This window comes from Homo sapiens, chromosome 10, assembly GCF_000001405.40.
Source record: "Homo sapiens chromosome 10, GRCh38.p14 Primary Assembly".
Classification (NCBI taxonomy): domain Eukaryota; kingdom Metazoa; phylum Chordata; class Mammalia; order Primates; family Hominidae; genus Homo; species Homo sapiens.
In genome coordinates, this window is record NC_000010.11 from 31,306,724 (window position 1) to 31,328,783 (window position 22,060).

General features: G+C 40.4%; 1 protein-coding gene and 1 long non-coding RNA gene across 59 annotated transcripts in view, besides 3 other annotated features; one reads left to right on the top strand and one right to left on the bottom strand.

Annotated features, from left to right (window-relative positions):
* Positions 1 to 993: 993 nt before the first annotated feature.
* On the bottom strand, positions 994 to 13,724 carry ZEB1-AS1 (ZEB1 antisense RNA 1). 6 transcript variants are annotated; one of them, NR_148979.1, is made up of 3 exons: positions 12,173 to 12,372; positions 3,170 to 3,292; positions 994 to 1,429 (listed from the first exon to the last, which is right to left on the bottom strand). It is a non-coding gene; the product is annotated as a ZEB1 antisense RNA 1 (long non-coding RNA). The 6 variants fall into 6 exon arrangements; NR_148978.1 differs by lacking the exon at positions 3,170 to 3,292; NR_148975.1 differs by lacking the exons at positions 994 to 1,429; positions 3,170 to 3,292; positions 12,173 to 12,372 and adding exons at positions 9,805 to 11,817; positions 13,560 to 13,724.
* Positions 11,688 to 11,747: a silencer, noted in NCBI's record as "silent region_2274". NCBI's record gives its function as "represses an Ori minimal core promoter by ATAC-STARR-seq in GM12878 lymphoblastoid cells {active_cell/tissue: GM12878}" and the evidence as "EXISTENCE:reporter gene assay evidence [ECO:0000049][PMID:35858748]".
* Positions 11,694 to 22,060, top strand: part of ZEB1 (zinc finger E-box binding homeobox 1) — a 211,388-nt gene continuing 201,021 nt past the window's right edge. For 21 of the 53 annotated variants that reach the window (XM_047425684.1, XM_047425689.1, XM_047425685.1 and 18 more), the window contains exon 1: positions 12,493 to 12,569. Coding sequence is in view for 11 of the 53 variants with exons in the window: in NM_001174096.2 (NP_001167567.1) it covers positions 12,512 to 12,569 (58 nt within the window). In the remaining 42 variants the exon portion in view is untranslated. Of the gene's footprint in view, positions 11,858 to 12,094; positions 12,411 to 12,492; positions 12,570 to 13,044; positions 13,485 to 13,830; positions 13,976 to 14,477; positions 14,810 to 14,936; positions 15,129 to 22,060 lie in introns of those variants that run through there. The other 32 variants (NM_001323663.2, NM_001323662.2, NM_001323664.2 and 29 more) reach the window with 7 other exon arrangements.
* Positions 12,488 to 12,937: a silencer, noted in NCBI's record as "silent region_2275". NCBI's record gives its function as "represses an Ori minimal core promoter by ATAC-STARR-seq in GM12878 lymphoblastoid cells {active_cell/tissue: GM12878}" and the evidence as "EXISTENCE:reporter gene assay evidence [ECO:0000049][PMID:35858748]".
* Positions 12,978 to 13,067: a silencer, noted in NCBI's record as "silent region_2276". NCBI's record gives its function as "represses an Ori minimal core promoter by ATAC-STARR-seq in GM12878 lymphoblastoid cells {active_cell/tissue: GM12878}" and the evidence as "EXISTENCE:reporter gene assay evidence [ECO:0000049][PMID:35858748]".

Here is a 22,060-nt window from a genome sequence, read left to right on the forward strand (position 1 = left end):
CACCTGTTGTTTCCTGACTTTTTAATGACTGCCATTCTAACTGGTGTGAGATGGTATCTCATTGTGGTTTTGATTTGCATTTCTCTACTTTAAAGTTCATATGCAACCAAAAAAGAGCCCGCATTGCCAAGTCAATCCTAAGCCAAAAGAACAAAGCTGGAGGCATCACACTACCTGACTTCAAACTGTATTAAAAGGCTACAGTAACCAAAACAGCATGGTACTGGTACCAAAACAGAGACATAGATCAGTGGAACTGAACAGAGCCCTCAGAAATAACGCCGCATATCTACAACTATCTGATCTTTGACAAACCTGAGAAAAACAAGCAATGGGGAAAGGATTCCCTATTTAATAAATGGTGCTGGGAAAACTGGCTAGCCATATGTAGAAAGCTGAAACTGGATCCCTTCCTTACACCTTATACAAAAATCAATACAAGATGGATTAAAGACTTAAACGTTAGACCTAAAACCATAAAAACCCCAGAAGAAAACCTAGGCAATACCATTCAGGACATAGGCATGGGCAAGGACTTCATGTCTAAAACACCAAAAGCAATGGCAACAAAAGCCAAAATTGACAAATGGGATCTAATTAAACTAAAGAGCTTCTGTACAGCAAAAGAAACTACCATCAGAGTGAACAGGCAACCTACAAAATGGGAGAAAATTTTTGCAACCTACTCATCTGACAAAGGGCTAATATCCAGAATCTACAATGAACTCAAACAAATTAACAAGAAAAAAACAAACAACCCCATCAAAAAGTGGACAGAGGACATGAACAGACACTTCTCAAAAGAAGACATTTATGCAGCCAAAAAACACATGAAAAAATGCTCATGATCACTGGCCATCAGAGAAATGCAAATCAAAACCACAATGAGATAAAATATTTTAAAAGACACACCTGTGTTCACTCCCACTGATTCAGTAATTTCAGTTTTGAGAATACTTTCCCAGGAAATGATCAAAAACCAACCAAACAAAAACTATTTCATAACAATGTTTATTTACAAACCAAAAAAGGGAGTAATTTAAATGTTCAACAATATATAACTGGCTTAGGAAATGACAGTATATCAATTTGAGAAACATAGCAGTCAAGTGAAAAATGACAAATATAAAGACTATGTACCTGTATCAGGAAAATGTATGTGATATGTAAGTGAAAACAGCAGAATACTAAATTACATGTAGTTATCCTAAGTATATGGAAAAAACTAATTGTTATGTAACTATATAAACTATACATGGGAAAACAGATTCAACAAGGCAGGCTTTATTGAATAACTCAGTTGGGGGTAGGAATAGGGATAACTGTTTTGACTCTAGGTATTGTGTGATGTTGTTATGGTGGGCATGTATTTGTCTCCTCAGACTTCAGAGTTCTGAGTCCATACCACCTTCATGCACTGCAGTAGGCCCTGAAAGAAAACAAAACAGAAGCACAGACAGACTCAGAGGCAAGAAATGGAGGGGTGCTGCTTGCCTATCTAAAGATGTTCTGATTCTTCACTTGTGTGACCTGCCTACATGTCTACTCTCAGGGTCTGTGAAAAAACAAAAACAAAAACTCATATCCTTATTATAAATTCCTATCATTTGGCTTGGACCAGTTTGAACGGGTACAAACCAAGAAACAAGACTAAGTTTTAATATTTCTGTTATAGTCTTTAACTTGCACTTTTTTTTTTTTTTTGAGACAGGGCCTCACTTGTTGTCCAGGTTGGAGTGCAACGGCACAATCTCAGCTCACTGCAGCCTCGACCTCCTGTGTTCAAGGGATCCCCCTGCTTCAGCCTGCCGAGTAGCTGGGACTACAGGTATGTACCACCATGCCTGGCTAATTTTATTTTTTGTAGAGACAAGGTTTCACTATGTTGCCCAGGCTGGTCTCAAACTCCCGGACTCATGAAATCCTCCTGGCTTGACTTCCCAAAGTGCTGGGATTACAGGCATGAGCCACCATGCCCAACAACTTGTATTTTTAAAAAGAAGTGTGTAAGAATGGTAAGAGTCCTATGCCATCTAACTGCATTGCAAATACTGTTAATTTATCCTAAGGTAAAAAGTTTACTTATTTTTTATTGATGCAGAATAGATGTGCACAGTTTTGAAGAACATGTGATAATTTAATACATTCATATAATTTGTAAAGATCAAATCAGTGTACTTGGGACATCCATCACCTTAATTATCTGTCTTTTCTTTATGCTAGAACCATTCAAATGGGAAGTTTACTTATCGCGTAGACAGTTCCTTAAATAATAGAGCTAATGTAAGCTAACAGTTATTCTAGACAACATAATATTCCAACTAATGTTAAACAAACAGCATGTTAATATCTCCTTTTTAATTTTACTTTAAGTTCTAGGGTACATGTGCACAACGTGCAGGTTTGTTACATATGTATACATGTGCCATGTTGCTGTGCTGCACCCATTAACTCATCATTTACATTAGGTGTATCTCCTAATGCTATCCCTCCCCCCTCCCCCACCCCACACAACAGGCCCCGGTGTGTGATGTTCCCCTTCCTGTGACCAAGTGTTCTCATTGTTCAATCCCACCTATGAGTGAAATATCTCTTCTTTTTGCTCTTTAGGTTAGAATTAATCCAACTATGCCTGAAGTGACATTTTTAGGGATACAAATGATCTTACCTTTAAGCCTTGAACAGAAAGTCACTGTGTAGAAATCTAGTGGATTATGCCCTTACTATCTGACTCTAATCTTTCCTGAGAGTCTGCTTTGCTGTTTTTGTTACCTTTCATATACTGTTTACCATGTGCCAGATCCTACATAAAACACTTCACATACACTGTCCCATTTGCCCTTCATAAAACTTCTGGACCAGAATGTTTTACCAACTGCAGAAGCTTTCCCTCTTTTCTACAATTATTGAGTGTACTTCCCATCAGACAATGCTTTCCATATCAGAAATGCAAAAATGAAAGCTCAGACTAGGAGACAGATGTTAAAAAAAAAAGTAGTAAAAGTGATAAATGTGGCTGGGCGCGGTGACTCACGCCTGTAATCCCAGCACTTTGGGAGGCCGAGGCAGGCGGATCATGAGGTCAGGAGTTCGAGACCAGCCTGGCCAACATGGTGAAACCCCGTCTCTACTAAAAATACAAAAATTAGCCAGGCATGGTGGCACGCACCTGTAATCCCAGCTACTCGGGAGGCTGAGGCAGGAGAATCGCTTGAACCTGGGAGGCAGACGTTGCAGTGAGCTGAGATCGTGCCATTGCACTCCAGCCTGGGCAATAAGAGCAAAACTCTGTCTAAAAACAAAAACAAACAAAAATAAAAATAAAATGAAAAAACAAAAGTGATAAACACCACAGTAGTGATATGTACAAAGTACCCGGATGTATGTGAGGGAATTACTAGCTATTCTGGGTATTCTTGGGTATTCTAAGTCCATACCAGGATGTGGTTGTCTAATCCCCAAGAATTCTGATACACCTGGAGAAATGCTGAGGTAATCTGAAATCGAGGGAAAGAAAACTAATTTGCCTTCTCAGAAATATGTCAGGTAATCTAGAAGATGCAGAATCTGAATGACAGGACATTAGTATATGTTAGGCTGCAGTAAATATAATAATGAAAAAATAGCAAGTATTAAAAAATACGTTGGGGACTCTTTTTTATATTAATTCATATATCATATAATTTTGAGGGCATGCCTTGTACTAAGGCAGTATTAGGACCTGGAAAGACCACTGTAAAAAGGTATCACCTGGAACAACTTTATTAATATTGTAAACATGGGAAATATTAATTATGCTTTATATTGCTGAACTTTTAGCAGCAGTGCAGCACTACTTGTTAAAATAATCTAGGCTGCATAGGGGGGCCCATTCCTGTAATCTCAGCAGTTTGGGAGGCTAAAGTGTGAGGATCATTTGAGCCCAGGAGTTCTAGACCAGCCTGGGCAACATGGCGAAACCCCGTATCTACAAAAAGTACAAAAAATTAGCCAGGCATGGTGGTGCACGCCTGTAGTCCCAGGTACTTGGGAGGATGAGATGGGAAGATCGCTTAAGCCTAGGAGGTCGAGGCTTCAGTGAGTCATGATCGCACCACTGCACTCCAGCCTGGGCAACAGAGCAGGACCCTGTCTCAAAAAAAAAAAAAAAAAGATAATCTGCAAATATTATTGTTTATGTGTGCTTAATTTGCAAAGTCACATCTTATTTTTGTGTTGCTTTTCCTTGCAGAATTATTCCTTCTTACATGATTATTCAAAATTAATGCAAGGACAGAAAAATACAAATACCACATGTTCTCACTGACAAATAGGAGCTAAGCATGGAGTACACGTGGACATAAACATGGGAACAACAGGTACTGCAGACTACTAGAGAGAGGGAGGGGTGTGGGTTGAAAAACTACCTACCAGGTACTATGCCGACTACCCGGGTGCAATATATCCATATAACAAACCTACACATGTATCCCCTGTGTCTAAAATAACAACTGAAATTTTTTAAAAAGTTAAGTTCTCTTGATGCTGTCCTGCTCACTTTTTCGTTTCCCTCACAGAACACTAATTCACATCTTCTATACGGTAGACGCTGTTAACTTCAAGGCCCTTCATGGCCTACAGGTGCTTTCAGTGCAACATCCCACGTCCTTGGCACCTTTGTACGGCTTGGCTCCTGCTTACTGACCTCTGAGGCCTCATCTGGAACTATGAGCCCATTTTATTCAATGCTTTGATGCTATTGGATTTGTACCACAAAGCACTATACTTTCATTTTGAGATTTCTGCATATGCTGTAACTTCTGCCTTTAATACTCTCTTCTCCTACTCTTCTGACAACACTATTACTTCTCCAAGAAAGATTTCCTTGACTCTGGGTTTGTTTAGATCTTTCTCTTAGGTAAACCATATTTCCTTGACATTTGTGTCAGCCTTTTAATATATGTTTCTCCCACAAACCTGTAAGCTTCTTGAGGTCAGGGACCATATTAGGCATTTACAGTTCCATGCAGTGTCTGCCACATATAATATGCTCAAGAATGTTAGACATGTAATTCCAGCACTTTGAGAGGCCAAGGCGGGTGGATCACCTGAGGTCAGGAGTTCGAGACCAGCCGGGCCAATATGGTAAAACCCCGTCTCTACCAAAAATACAAAAAATTGGCTGAGCACGGTGATGCATGCCTGTAATCCCAGCTACTCAGAAGACTGAGGTAGGAGAATCGCTTGAACCCGGAAGGCAGAGGTTGCAGTGAGCCAAGATCCTGCCACTGCACTCCAGCCTGGGTGACAGAGGGAGACTCTGTCTCAAAAAAAAAAAAAAAGAATATTAGTTGAATAAATGAACTAATGAACAATTAAAACTTCTACATGGCACAATGTAAATGTTATATACAGAGTAATGACCAATTAGCATAATGCTATAAATCTGCAAATTAAAGATGAACAAATAAAACATATTTCTCAATCATGAAATACAAAACTTGCATACTGTGAGTGGTGGAATAGTGGCTCCCAACGATGTCCACGTCCTAATCCCCCAAACCTGGGAAAAGGTTTGGTTATATGGCAAAGGGGAATTTACATTGTAGATGGAATTAAGCATGCTAATCAGCTGACCTTTAAATGAAGAGATATTTTGAATTATCTGGGTGGGCCCAGTTTAGTCACTAAGGCCCTTATAACTGGAAGAGGGAGGCAGAATAGAGGAACGAGTGAGCTGGCAAGATGCAAAGGACTCTGTTGGATGTTGCTGACTTTGAGGACGGAGGAAGAGGCTCAAAACCAAGGAATGTGAGCAGCATCTAGAAGCTGAAACAGGCCAGGAAATGGAGTCTCCCCTAGGCCCTTCTGAAGGAACTCAATTCTGACAAAACCTTGATTTGAGTCTTGTGAGACCTGCTTTGGACTTCTCACTTCCAAAATAGTAAGATAATACATTTACTTTTCTTTTAATTAAAACAATTTTTTTTTGGAGACAGGTCTCTGTTGCCCAAACTGGAATGCAGTGGTGCAAACATGGCTCACTGCAGCCTCCACCTCCTGGGCTCAAGTCATCTTCCCACCTCAGCCTCCCAGGTAGCTGGAATTACAGGCCTGTGCCACCATGCTCAGCTAATTTTTGTACCTTTTGTAGAGATAGGGTTTCACCATGTTGCCTGGCTGGTCTCGAACTATTGAGCTCAAGCGATCCGCCAACCTCGGCCTCCCAAAGTGCTGGGATTAAAGGTGTGAGCCACTGAGCCTGGCCGATTTATGTTGTTTTAATCCACTAAGTTTGTGGTAATTTTTAACAGCAGCAATAGGAAACAAATACACATTCCCACATGGAACAGGATTAACTTTGGCTGCATATGACAGAAAACCTAAGAGAATGGCAGCTGAAGCAAGAGGTATATTTGTTTCTTTCTAAGAGAAAGAGAAATCTGGAGGAGGAAGTCCAGGGCTGGTAATGGTATTCCATAGTGTCAAGGACTCAGGCTCCTTCAGTCTTTTTGCTCTGCATAACTTAAGGAGCTCTAGACAGCTCTGCCCAAGTTGAGAAAATCTAGCAGGATTTCAATCCACAGGAGGAAGGGAAAGGATGGTGAAGCATCTGTTTTTGAAGATCTTTGTCAATGTTGTGCACACCACTTACATCTCTTTGGCCAGAACTAAGTAGCATAGTGAGACCTAGATACATACAAGAAGAGAAACAGAACCATTTTTTTTTTCCTAGAGGCAGGTCTCACTCTGTTGCCCTGGCTGAAGTGCAGTTGTGTGATCAGAGCTCACTTCACCCTTGAACTCCTGGGCTCAAGTCATCCTCCTGCCTCAGCTTCTTGAGTAGCTGCAACTGTAGGTGCGCTTTACGATGCTTAGCTAATTTTAAAATTTTTTGTAGAGAGTAATCCTGCTATGTTGCCCAGGCTGGGCTCCAACACCCGGCCTTAAGCAATCCTCCTGCCTTGGCTTCCCAAAGCACTGGGATTATAGGCATGAACCACCACACCCAGCTAAGAATTATTTCAAGTGTGATAAAAATGGACAGTTCTATAATTTTAAAAGAGGAAGAAACATATTAGGGACAATTAGCTCTATCTTAATATTGTGGTATGATTTTTTTCTCTCATTGTTTTAAATATGTAAAAGTTGTCTCGCCTAGATTTTAGATTAAGGCAGAGGCCATCATTCCACAAATAGGTTATTGAATAATTACTACGTGATAGTGTTTGCCAGATTTTGCAAGTACATACATTGGAACGTGAGTATATACTTGTTCAACAAATGACATAAGACATTTATATCACATTTAACATTAGTATTGTAATTAATGGAAATAGCAGAATTATTGGTTGGTAAGAAATAAGGTTAAAATGCTTTATTTCTATACGCATATTACTCAGGGTCCTGGCCGGAAGCATATAGCACATTCAAAGGATACTCTGAAGAGAGTTTAATGAAGAGACTATTTACAGAGGTGTGGACAGGTTTTAAAGGAAGGAGTGATGAAGCAATCAATCATTACCACCCTGGGCCTGAAGACACAAAGAGAAGAAGCAGTTTCTGGAACTTGGCAAGACCTGTGGCCATGGGATGAGGGTGTCGGACAGGAGCCAGGGACCTCAGGTAGAGGAACGAAGCTAGAGCCACAGCCAGGCAGCAGGGAATAGAATAAATATCCTGACCTCTCTCTTTTTCCTTTCTCTGATCATTTGCCAAAGCCTCCAAATTGGCTGAAACCAAATAGGAACCAGAGGGCAAAGAAGCCTGGGTGACGTGACTTCCACAGAAGTCAGCCTCGCAGAGCATGGAAAGGCAGAGAATGGACTTTGAAGGACAGAGCATAACAAGGATAATATGAAAAAGCAAAGCATTTCACAGAGTTGGAACGATTCAAAAAATTTTAAACAAAAAGAGAAAGGGAAATGATCCAAACAGAGCGGGCACAAAGAAAGACAGAGGAAGGGAATGATTACAAAGTAAAACAGTGGGGGAGGGGCACAATGTCTGATCTATTTATGTAAGTAGGATAAAGAGAGAGAGAAAAGAAATAGAGGCCTGAGGTCTGAAGAGAATGAGAAGGGTGTGACCAGGGATCTTAAAGTTGTGGATATAATTGGACACAGGGTATTTATCACCATCTTTCTCATGTAAGTTTAATACAATGGTAGAACATCTAAAACCTGTTACTGATTGCAAACATTTTAAATGCATGTACACCAAGGATGTTCAATCCTTGCCTCTGTTCAGAGGCAACGACTGTAACTGAGGATCTGTGGTTTACAGAACACCAGCACTGTAGGTCAAAGAAACAGCCATACTCTGTAACAGAATCAATCAGCTGCTAAAAGAAGTCAAGATGACAGAAAAAAGAAATACGTGGATACAAAAGAGAAAAAACAGCAGTAGAAACCAGCTATCAGACCACTGATATCATGGTAAATAATTAAAATTCACTTAAATCAAAAATATGTGTGTTGCTTCCTCTCAAGTTACCTACATATAATTAAGTGTAGAAAAAATTAAATGTTATTCATATTCATAAGTAATATTAGTAATAGAAACTACAATCTAACTTCTATGGAGGCAGCCTTTGAAAGAAATCCTTTTTAATTACTGTGACTTCATGGAAAACACTAGTTTTACTTTTTGGATATTCACCGACATCCTGCAAACATCTTTCTCCATATATTTATATCTATCTCTGTATTACACACGTTCCTGAAAAATCACCTCGTAAATAAGAAACTACACGTGTTAACATTTCATTGACTTACATTAAAAATAGGAGCCTCATTCCCCAGAGGGGTAAGAACCATTCTGTGGTAAACTATGTAACAAAAATCACATGGAAGTATGGAGAAAACATTTGTCCCTGTGATATCTCCTGGGAGGCTGTATTCGAAGGGCTGGCATGGGTCCTGTGGCCAACTGTGGGTTCTGCATCACCCTGTAGTCATGTTTCCTTCCTGACTCAATGACTGCAGAATTTGGTGAGACTGCAACAGTGAAATGACCATTGCCCTCCTTTGTTCCACGGTGAACTGCAAATCCAGAATTACTGTAGGTCAGGAGCCATGGTCAGAGACAAGAATTGAGTAGCGGCTTTATGGGACCTCTACATTCTGTACTTTGAGGGATAACATGTATCACATTCTTTTTCCTTCAAAAACTCTAAGATTAAAATTAGGTATTGAATTCAAGAGTTGCATTTACATGCTATCCTTCCATGAAATTAACGAACTTTAAATTTTGATGAAGACTAGAGAATTATACATTGCACTTCTCAATGTGTTTTGGAAGAGGTATGTGGGAATGATATGCTTCATGTGGAACACCGTGAAATCTCTACATTTTAAACTTAAGATAATTTTATGTCAAATTTTATCCTAATTTATACAGGAATCATATATGAAAAGCAAATAGGTGCAAAGGGTTTATGAAAAATTTATAGAAAAAACTCAGTATTGGAACTATTCTATCCATTTACATTTTTCCCTGTAAATTTGGAATAGTATAGAAATTCATTTTTAGAATATCTTCCCTTCAGCATATATAATCCCAGTGCTCAGTAGAAGCAGTGTGTTAACATTTCATTGACATATTAAAAATAAGCATATATATTGAATGTATGCTGTATGACAGCACTACAATTACTAAAACCAAGAATGCAGGATACATGTTAAAGTCATATATTAGTATCCCCTACCGTTTGATTTGAATAAACCTAAATTTTAATAATCTTCTTTTATAAATTGATTCTAAAGATTTTTCCCCTATTCTTTAGCTGTATTTAAGAGATAAGAAGCAACCGTCACACATGCATCATGTTTAAAGCAGTAATTTATTCTGAGATTTACTTTTGTCTGTTTTCTTTCCAGTCCAGGTATCAATATTTTCAAGAATATTAAAGTATAATAATCAAACATTCAATTCATAACATATATGCTTATCAGAAGCTTTTACAAAATGGAAATTTTATGTTAGAAGATTTGGGCTACCAGTAATATTCACTGTGCATATTTTAAAAAAAAAGGTGAACAGAGTTCATTGTTTAGGGAAAATGATTATGGAGAAACTAAAATCAAGAGCAATTTTAATGTGGATATTAATGACAGTGATCACTTTCATATCCATGACTTTATCTGTTCCTAAGGACTAAAGGGATGAAGGCAGATTATGTACCTTACTGTCAAGAACAGGGTCAGAAAAGGTCAACAATATTAATTTAAGAAATGTTTATTAAGCATCTACTATTGGCTACGTACTCCACTAGGTGTTGAGGACATAGAAATAAGAAAAAAAAGTTACCTGAAAAGGTACTTGTCCACAGTTTGGCCCAAACTAACTAAACCAGAAACCACTAAAGTAAGGAAGAAAATGACTTCTGTTTGTCTCTTCACTTCATCTCTCTATGAGGTGAGGATGAACACTGAAGGAAGCTTAGCAGGGAGGTACAGGCCAGAAAGAGAACATGAGAAAATGCTATTTGTAATACCTCCTAAGTTTAAGAGTAGGTAAAATGTGTGATAGAGCTGGAAAGTTTTTTTTTCCTTTCTGGTCAGAAATCAGGGTAGCTGTAAAAATGTTGGTGGGGTGGGGTCAATTCCATAGTCTATGACCTGATTCGGTAGGCGACTGAAAAACATTGTACAACTCTTAAAAAAAGGGAGGAAGAACTCACACTTAACCAAGCAAAGCAAGGACACCGTGTTGACATACACAAGTTTCGGTTAACATGGTATCAAGGAAAGCGAGGACTGCCTGTACTTAAAATGATCATTAAGACTAATGATTCTAGTTTTGGCATTGAGGATGAATGCAGATATATAGACATAATGTATAGCAAAGAATATTTACAGTCACATTTCATGGACCAATAAATAACGCATTTACTTCTCAAAATGCCCAAGAAAATGTGGGAGAGAAAATGTTCATTTATATTCAAGATTAAACTTTCTAACTTTAAATCATCAGACTTCAGCTGTAAATTTATTTCAGTTGAAAGGTTTGAAGACATTATTAATGAATATTCTAAAATTCCGGAAGGTGTTTAAAAGATAATTTTAACCTAATAAAAAAATCCTGCCATAGAAGTGACAAAAATTATAAGCATAAATTTATTGAGCACCTACTATGTGTCATTGTGCTAGGTGATGTACTACGTTATTTCCAATACTCCGGTCACGTTTCAGTTTTCTCAATTTCTCTATCAATAACTGCTACATTGTTAATTTATAACTATATTACTTGAAATACAGCTCAGCTTATTTATTCCATAAAGTTGGTCCCAAAGACGTTTCCTTATTCGAAGGAGGTGGGAAGCAGGAAGGAAACCTAAATCTAAATTCTACTTAATACTGAAGACGACTTTCTTGATATTTGTGGTTATCTGTATGGTCTTTTCAGAAATCCCAAAACTTGTACCAAGTCAAGGATAAAATAAGATAAAATCAGCAATCTATCAGGTTCAGAGATCACATCTGTCAGCCGATGCTTCTTGCCTTAAGGTCCTGCACGGCGATGACCGCTCATTTAGGAAGGAATTCATGGCCTGTGGATACCTTAGCTCTGAGTCCTGCCACCTAGGATCCCACGGTTCTACGCGAGGAAGAGGGCGGGGAGCGCGGACCGGGTGTGGGAGGCCGAGGTGACAGCAGGTGAGGGCCGGGTGCGGATGGGGAAGTGAGACAAGCACCGTGTGGGTATTACTCATTCCGCTCTACTAAGGAGGCTGCTGGCAAGCGGAACTTCTAGCCTCTCTTTCAATCCAGCTGAAGTTCAATCTCATTGAAGTCACTTCCCATCCCGGTTCGCTTGGGGGGAAACCAGGCGTCCCTGGAAGGGAAGGGAAGGGAGTCCGGGCTGCGCGGGTCAGGTAGCCTCTCTCCGGTCGCCGCGTGTCCTCGCCGTCCCCAAACCTGCCCTTCCCCTCATCAAGGGAACTCCCCGGGGAGTCCAGACCGCGATCCCTTTCCTTGGCCCCGGGGTGCGGGGGGCGGACACGCGAGGCGTGGGACTGATGGTAGCCCTGCCTCCAGGAAGCAGGCAGGCGGGGACCTCTGGGCGCTCGGAGGGGCAGCTCCGAGGGCACAGGGTACAGGGAGAATCAGCCAGATCCCTCCCTGCCCCGGGCAGCCGCGGCGGGTGTGGCCAGCGCGGAGGCAGGACGCCGCCGAGCCTCCAACTTTACCTTTCCAACTCCGACAGCCCGTCGCCTTTCTGACCGCGTCCCTACGGTTTCCCGGCATCCGCCTCCCTCTCCCCACCACACCTGAGGAAAACTTTTCCCTCGCCCCTCAATTCAAATTCAGCAGTGCCCACGGTTGCCGCAAACCGCCCGGTCCCTAGCAACAAGGTTCCGGCCGTAGAGCGAGAGCCTCTAGGTGTAAGGAAGGTGATGTCGTAAAGCCGGGAGTGTCGTAAACCAGGTGCGGTGGGGAGGGGGGAGGGGTGGAGGCGGAGGGGTGGGGGGGAAGGGGGAGGGAGGGGGAGGAGGTGACTCGAGCATTTAGACACAAGCGAGAGGATCATGGCGGATGGCCCCAGGTGTAAGCGCAGAAAGCAGGCGAACCCGCGGCGCAATAACGGTGAGTGGCGGAGGGGACCGGGGAGCGGCGGAGTCAGGGGGAGCTGGGCAGCCGGGGCGCCCCCGGGGGTGAGGGGGGCGAGCCGGGCTGGGGGCAGCCGGGGCAGGGACGGCAAAGTGGAGTGGGAAAGTAGAAAGTAGTGCTCTCTGCCCCCCTCCGCTGCCGCCGCTGCCGGAGCCGCGCCGCGGCCGCTCGCTCTCCCTGAACCGTTATGTCTCTTACCTGGTCTCTCTCCGCCTAGCGGCTCCCGCCGCCCCTGCCGCCTCCCTGGACCGTTAGCCGGCGCCGACGCCGCCGCATCCCCGGCGCAGGGCGGGCGGCCGGGACGCACTGGCCACTTTTCTGGTCCCGGGTGGAGCGGCTGTTGCTTCTTTCCGCACTTTTCCCCACTCTTGTGCCCTTCGGCGCCTCCCTCTCCCCCTCCTCCTGGCCCCCTCAGCGCGATTCTCCCTCAGCGCCCAGGCCCCCGGGAGCCGCGGAACAAACTTGTGCCCGGCGCTGACCGTGCAAAGTGGCTTCCGCGCGCCGCGGCCCCGGCCGGCGCCGTCGCTGTCGCTCGGGCCCCGCGACTCGGGCCGGGCTGTGGGCGCGCGGCAGGCGGGCTGCGGCGGCGGCGGGACGGGGCGGCCGCGGGTTGCGTGGGGTTTGTGCGCGCGTGTGCGCGGGCGCCGGCTGTGCGCGCCGCGGGCGGACAGGGTTCGGCCGGCGGCGGTAAAGTTGGGACCCGCGGGCCGGGCGCGCTCGCGTAACGGGGATTAGAGGCGCGGGGGCGCGGGTCCCTAAGCGCCCCTCCTCCCTGGCGCCTCCCGCTGCCCGGCCCAGAGCCCCGGCCTGGGGACTCCGCGGCGAGCCCCGCGAGTGGGGTCCACGTTTGGCGGGGCGCGGCGGGGCGGCGCGGGGAACAAGGCAGGAAAGGTACCCACTTAACGCCGCCGGGAGCCGCGCGGATGGGGGCGAGCTGGGCGGCGGGTGTGTTTGCGGAGTTGTTACCTGGGCTTAGAGACCGGGAAGCACCACAGACAGATCCCCCTCCCGGGGCAGACGAGGTCTCTGCGCCGGGATGGGCCGGTGTGCGTGCGCCTCGCGCTTTTCTCTTTCGGTTTTTGGGGAAGTTGTTACCTGGGCCGGACGCACGGAGCGCTGAAGCCGGATAATGGGGCTTGGATGGCGCTCTGGGTCTCGGGTGGAAGGAGGGTGGGGGAGGGGGCGGACGGACCGACGGACGCGCGGGGCTGCTACTTGCACCGCAGCTGCAGTGTTTATTGATTTGTGCTGCTGTGCCAAGGGAAACACACACCCCTCTGCCTGGCGTGAGAGTTAAAAAAAAAGAGAGACAGCCCGAGGGATCGAGACCTGAACATGTGGTGGTGGTTGCACAGTCGCCTTTTCCAGTTTGGAGAGACGTTGTAAGTTGATTGTATTTCTGGTTATCTCGGGGCGATGCTATGCTTTCTCTCCCTCTCGTGCAGCAGCGAAATGTCTGCTGATTGTTATTGTCTGGACAGTTCCTGTGGCGAGAGGGGCGAGACTTGTCCGCCCGGGGGCGGCGGGAGCGCAGGGAGAGCAGCCCCCGCCTGCGCCGCCCCGGTACCTGTTTGTATAATAATGGGCGGCAACGGCCCTGCCGCCGGCCGCAGCCCAGGCTATATAAGGAATTACACGTACATTTCGGACCGAGGGGCTCGCTTTGGTTCCTGCGTTATTTTTAAAACGACTTTTAAGAGAGGGGCAATAAATGCGTCTATAATGGGACCGCTGCAGCGTCGAGAAAACGAGGAAATACGTGTTTAGGAGAAAACTCTCTCGTGCTCCCCCAGCCCCACCCCCCGCGCCTGGGCTCCCTTTCTCCCTCCCCTCTGGGATGCGAAACGCGAGGTTTTGTAACCTTTCCTGGCAATTTTAGATTTTGTGTGGGATTTCCTGTCTAGAAGCAGATACGAAGATTTTTAAGCTGTTTCAAGATGTTTCCTTCCAATCCATAATTATATTTTTAATATATTCGAGCCATCATTAAAATCACTGCTTTCGTGATTTTAATTATTCAAATAAACACTTGCATTTTAAAGACGTCTGTTGATTATAAACGAAAGGTATTTTGGTATTCTCATTGTGGAGAGATGACTTGTTATAGCAAGGAGTGGAGCATAGGCTATTGCAATTTTAATTTCCTGTTTTAGCGTCAAATAGTGTGTGTTCCATATTGAGCTGTTGCCGCTGTTGCTGATGTGGCTTTATGAAAGGTAAGTTGGTTCGGAAAGAGCTGTTCGCTTTTTACCTTATTTAAAATGTTGATCGCCAGAGAAAGGGGCTTTTCTTGTTGCTGACGACATGTGTGTGACATGTGAGTCTGAACCACCCAGCGTCTGTGCAGCTGCTGTAAACATGTTTACCTGAACAGGAAAGAATGGATTTTTCTCCTTGAGATCCTGTGATATGAATATTACACTCGTAAGGCATATCAACAGATGACTTAAGGGGGGAAAAGCGATCCTGAAAGATACTTGAAATCAACAGGAAAGAGAGGTTCTTGATCGCTGCAGCAAATGGCAACTTGTGCAGGTAGAAAAAAAGATGGTGTTTAGTTTTCTCCTGCATGTATGTCAGCCCCCTCCTGTCTGCTGCTTTCATTCTCAAGGGAGGGATTTATTTACCACGCTTGCTGTCAGTGTTTTTCCTTTGTGTTTAATATTAGAAAAACAGATTTGCGTCTGTTTAGCACAAAACGTCTTGTCTGCAGTATGCATTACTCTCAGAAAACAAAAGGTGTTTAAGATAGCACTGTACTACTACAGGTATCTTCCATTTTCATCACTTTTGGCTCTGTCCTTGTATTTCTTTTTGTTCTCAAATGCATTTCATCCATTGCTGGTGATTATAGCCATGCTATTTGATTTAGCCTTATATTTTGCAAATTAAAAATGAAGTTATATTCCATTGTGTTGTGAAACCTCAGTATATGTGCTGGTTAATATTTCTTAGCAGTGCAGTCATATTTAAGTTGCAGATGTTTATTGGAGAAAATTGCCTGGCAAAACGTTAACTCTCAAATCTTTTTAATGAAGAAATATGTGATATATACAGTGGAAGATTGTCGTAGAGATAGTTTATGTTGTTATATATGTAAATAATGTTTTATTCATTTTGAAATAAGATACGTGGATTTTGCTGCTAAGCCTTCTGTAAAATATTTTAATTTCCTTTCTGGAATATGTCTGAAGGTAGGATATTAAAAGGAGTATCAGGTAATGTAACTGACAGGGGTAAACCAATTGAGTAAGGTTTGGCCAAAGCATCAAACCTTGTGTGGTAACTTAATGATGTTAGTCATCCGTAAAGGAGTGACATTAGAATTGCTTGAATTAGTTTTTACCATTTATAATTTCATGCTTTGTTGCATTTTAAAAAATCTGTCTTTTTCTTTTTCTGCTTTCTTCTATGTGGTTTTCTTCTTGTTCTACCTTTTTTTTTTTTGAGAGAGAGATGTACTCTACTAATGACCACATGCTGATTAATTCTCTTTAGATGGAATAGAAGGTACATATCCTTCTGTCATCAGCACCATTTCCCCTTGCTGTCATTGGAAACCACCAGTAGAGGATGCTAACAAAAATGATTATTGGTGTGGTAGCATCATAAGTCTCTCTATCGACTGTGCTGATTGGGACCTTCAGTATAATTCTGAGTCTTATTGTTACTTAAAACTAGCCTTGGTTAAATTAGGCATAAGCATTTTCTAGTTTGCCGAAACTAGAAAGAAGCAGGACTGTTTTAACTTGAATAATTTTATAAATTTGAGTTATTTAAGTCTCTAATTGAGATTGCTGTTAATTCATTCTTGTTTTAGAGCAGTTGTATTACTCCTTATTTTAAAAAGATTTTGTTTTATGTTCTTAGGTTTGGAGAAGAATATGTAATAATTGACCCATATTTATGTTGCATATTTAGAATACTTTTTAATCACCCCTTTTTAAAATTCATAGTAAGATCCCTTAAAATATATATTTTAGATGTTAAAATACATCTAAAATGGTCAAAGTTTAAGAGTAGCAAGGAAAATTACAATTGATTGATAATACTGTGTAATTATTTTTATATAACTTATGTAGACTTAGACTATGGATGGGTTGGCAGAGAGCTACTAACGGAGGTGGTAACTAGCAGTCACTTAGATGTTAGTGATTTTTAGATTTTATCTTTTCCTTCCCCTTCAGGTCTTTTCCTACTGGTAGCCCTCCCCCACCTTTTTAGTTAAGAATCAGTGAGTGCATACGTTTTAAATTTGTCAGTTGTAATTAAGGAATATAAGTTTGCTTTGAGATCTTATATGCAGTAAAACTCTGTAGTTCGTACGTTGCTGTATGCTTGTATTTAAATAATTCCTTTCAAGAAACTATATAAATTGCATATAAATAATTGCATGAGACTGTATTTAGTTATGTCTTTTCATTTTGTGTTCTTATAGGTATATTAATATAACTGTAAATTTTAAGCCTCTCATTAGGTAGAACATTAGAAGTATTTATTTCCTTAATTATTTTTAGTGGTGTTTTTATAAATGCATCAATATCAGTACCGTAATGGAATAGCCATACTGTTTATCTTGAACTAAGTAGGTATTGAATTGCCAGGTAAGCCTGTGTTAATTTCTTATTTTAGGATGTCATGGTTCTTCGTGTGTGTGTGTGTGTGTGTGTGTGTGTGTGTAAATAGTTTTTCATTTCCTGACAGGTATTTCTTGAATTTAGTATTCTAATTCCTGAGGGCTCAGTAGTGAATAGGTGTGATTCACTTAAATGTTTATGAACTCAGAAACTTTGCCACAAAGTCACGAGATACATTGTAGCATGGAGCAAAACTTAAAGTATCTTATAAATTGAAAATATTAATCGTTTATGAAGATGACCCTGATATAAAAAGCATGTGAAATATTTGTTTAATACTGTTTTCTTCCTTTCTCTAGTCTCTAGTATGTTTGAAATGGCATACCTCCTATGTAGTAGCTTTTGAAGCATGTGCTGAGAAACTTCTGTTAAATTGAGAATGATATTTTTAAAATAAGAGCATAATGATTTCTCATAGTTGTGTTTTTCTTTTGCTTTATCCTCTTGTGGATTTACCTGTATAAATCACTTTTAAGCATGTGGTTAGAGCCAGATGTAAACACAGATGCAGTATCATGTGGAATTATATTGTTAGCTACTCTTAACTACCTGTATTGAATTGCAGCAGAGGAGGAGAAAAATCATGCAGATGTTGGAAGAAGATATGCATTAGTGTGCAAGAGTACAGCGAGAGGTTAGAAAACTTGAAGCTGTAGAAATAGGATTGAAAAAGGTTTCTTTGCAGTACAGTCACTAATTTATGTGGAAATGCATGCTCTTTATTTCTAATTGAGATATAAGCTAAAATAAAAGTCCATTGTTGAAAGAAAACTCAAAAAATTTTAAACTAGAAAAAGTGTCCTGATTAGGAAATATGATAAAATGATTTTTTAAACTACTTTTTAAAGGGTAGATGTTGTACATATTACTGGCTAAATAATCATTCAACTAGATATGAACTAAAAGTAGTAAGCAAGTAGAAATATATGTAGTAGAGAAAGTTTTGTAGCAACCCTAGTTAAAATTAAATTTGATCTATTATGTAGGCATTGCCATATAAACTAATCATTCTTTTGCATGGGGCAGTGTTTTGAGTATTATGTCACTAAAGGAAACATCTTTAGGACATTAGTTTTACTAAATAAAAATTTCAATATGTTATGAGCATGTCTGGATTTTAGCCTTGATGGAGGTGGGTTACGCTGTTAACTTAAAACTGGGTTGCTTAAAAAGATGGCAATATAATACAGTACTTAAGTAGCAAAATGCTCTCTAATAAGTAAAATTTGCTTTATGATTGTTTTCAGAGAAAACAACTTAATTTTTAGAACTTCATTAATTTTGTTAAAGCATATTTTTGGATTATATAATATGGATGTAGATAAATGGAAAGATTATGAAAGGAAAAGCAAAAAATTGAATTCAAGTGTCTATTTGTATTATAGCTGTGAAACTTTAAGCTTTTTTCATTCTCTACAAAGTTACTTTTCTCTTTCTTCAAACAGCTCCCTGTTGTTTAATACACGTTCCCTCTATACATAGGGATTGCATTTATCTGTCCATATGCACATTTCTCCTCCTAATCAACATTATGTATTTATTGAGACTTGGTACATGGAGGTTGAGGTATGAACTATGTTTGTAGAAAACCTTACAGTATGGCAACCTGGGAAAACCTTCATCTCTTTTGCAGTAACAACTACATCTGTGCTGAAATTATTCATAACAGATGTTTTGTGATCTCTTAATTCCCTCCCTCTCCCTTCCCCTCCCCCATTCAGATTTAAAATTAAATGTGAATGGAAGATAAATTTATAAATTATGTTAATTTCTTTTTATTGTTTTATTCTATATTGAAAGTCCTCTGTTTTCTCTTTTTAAAATATTCTAATTTTAAATGTTTAAGATATTTTAAGTACTCTGATTTCAATTATCTTTTAATAAAATATGACACCATTATTTATATATCTGTTACTATTCATGCTCACGGCCTAAAATATATTCTGATTTCCCTTACTCTTAAGGTCTTTGTATTCATTTAATCCACAATTCTAGCAGAGTGTTTGGTTTTGGGTTTTTTTTTTTTTTTTTAAGTAGATAGTGCTGAGTGTAACTAGTTTGCTGATGAAAAAAACTCATTTTCTTGGAATCATATATTTTTAATATGGAAGATTCATCTTTTCCAAAATAACTTTTTATCTGAAAACTGACACAGATAAGCTGAAATTTAGGGTCTTTAAGTAGAAACTCTAGAAGAGACTTTAATGTGTGTTTTAAGAAGGGGTAATGCCAGGCAGATACAGTGACATATGGAATAACATGTAGTGAAATCCTTCAAGGAGTAGATTTTCTGAACCTGGGCTCAGGGTAACCTTGCTCTGCCTTGAATACTTGAAAAGGCTGTCAAAATCACTGTATCTCTTTAACGTTTTCTCCTTTCTACCCTAAAGTTAAGTTGCTATTTGCTCCTATTGCTACATCACTTTTCTGAATCTCTTTTGATACACTTGGCTTTTGCTTTATTTGGGAGGGAGAAAGTAAAGGAAGGAGGAATTGGAGTAGACAAAAAATAACTTTATATGAATAAATATTCATTAAGAAAATGAAGTGGAATAATTTTGGACTGGAGAGATTTGGGAGAATCATCCAAAGCCATTTTGCAGTAAAGCAGACAGTCAAAGAGATAAGATGACTTTGCCAAGTTTATGTTACTAGTTAGCTTGGACTAGGTCACAGCTTTTTGGGTTCCTAGTTCGGTATTCTTTTCATTAGGTCATTTGAGCATATTTATCTAAGACGGTAACAAGCAAGAACTAGATACCATGAATTTTCAAATTTATTATACTTAAAACCAAAATGTGTAGAATGCTTCATCATCTCAAAGGCAAGTTCTAATACATATGCATACATCTGTCAAATTTAGTAGTTGATGTAGTTATATCACTTAAAATATTTCAGATGCAGAGCATTAGTATTATTTAGAGGCATCCTCTCATTTGGATTATACTTTTGGTCACTATTCCCAATTTCAGCTCCCATTCACTCTATCCTTCCTACCTTGGACCCAATCTAATATGTTTTTTATATGCTGTTGGTTTTGTAGCTAGCCTTGTAAAATTTTGTACCTCTTTTGTGTGTTTTGTATTTACATAAGTGCTATAAGTGCTACTTTGCTCTATCATTTACTTTCTTTTTCTTTTCTTTTCTTTTTTTTTTTTTTTTTTTTTTGAGACAGTTTGACAGTTTGACTCTTGTCACCCAGGCTGGAGTGTAAAGGCGCGATATCAGCTCACTGCAACCTCTGTCTCCCAGGTTCAAGTGATTCTCCCGCTTCAGCCTCCCAAGTAGCTGGGATTACAGGCACACACCGCCATGCCTGGCTGATTTTTGTATTTTTAGTAAAGATGGGGTTTTGCCATGTTAGCCAGGCTGGTCTCAAACTCCTGACCTCAGCTGATCCACCTGCCTCAGCCTCCCAAAGTGCTGGGATTACAGGTGTGAGCCACTGCACCTGACATATAATTTACTTTCTTTACTTAGCATTGTTTGATAGCTAGATATGTTGCTATATGTACAGCTAGTTCATTGCTTTTAACCTTGCAGTAGTTCATTTATGTAGTAAGCACAAATTACCTATCAATTCCCCTAATGGCAGATTCCCAGATTGACTCCAATTCTTAGATACCAATAATTCTGTAATAAACATCCTCCTACGTGTTGCTAATGGCTGTGGAAGAGTTTCTCAGCACTACCATATCTAGGGACATGGTATTGTCCAGACATAGTATTGCTGAGTATAGGTCAATCACATATTTAATAATTACTAAATTCTGTCAGATTATTTTAAAAACAGCAACACCATTTTTTACGCTCACCAACAATGTAAAAGAACTATTTTCTCACGTTTTTGCCAGCCTTCGGTATTGTACAACATTCTACATTTTGCTAATTTTTCAGTTGCTAAATATAATCTGATAGTTGCTTTAATTTATGTTTCTCTGTTTATTAGGGAGGTTGATCATTTCTTCATATCCTTGCTAGCTGTTTGGGTTTCCCTTTCCATATCTGGCCTATTCATACCCTTTACCCCTCTTTTTGGATAGATTTCCATTTCTCTTGTGTATTTAAGATGATAATCCCCAACGTTTCAGTCATTTGACTTTGGTACAGGAATCCTTAATTTTAATGTCAAAATTTTGACTTTATGGGTAGTAAGAAGTCCTTCCTAATCTATAGATTATAAAGATATTTTCCTGGATTTTCTTCTATTAGTTTCTTAGTTGTATTTTTTGTATTTATATGTCTAATGCATCAGGAGTTCACCTTTTGAATACACCCTTTCTTAAGAGGAACAAGTATAGCAGTTAAGAGTTTGGGTTGATCCTGTAACTTACTACCTATCACCCTGGCCGGGTTACTTAGTCTTTTTATGCTTGAGTTTCTCTGCATGTAAATTGGACATGACAGTCTAAGAATTGGGAAAGTTTAAATGAAGCATATGACGCATTGTGCCTAATACATGTTTTAAGTTTTCAACACATGTTCATTTAAAATTTTACTTATTTATTTTAAATATATCTTGGATCAGCTGACAATTTTTTATCCTTTTGACCAGTATTAACTCCAGCTAATGTAACTACCATCTGAAAGGGGGTTGCTGTAAAATTTGTACATTGTTTGTGTAACTTTGACATTTAACATTGCTTAGTTCAGACCTTGGACAAAGCTGTTAAATGATCAATAGACACTGAAGCTTCATCTTAATGCTACTTTTGGTATGTCTTTCAGCTTTAGGAAGGATTCCTTGGATCTTTTTAAGGGCCATTATATGAGAGAGACCTTACCATATCACTTTTATGTATAACATTGACATGAACTTCAAGGATAATG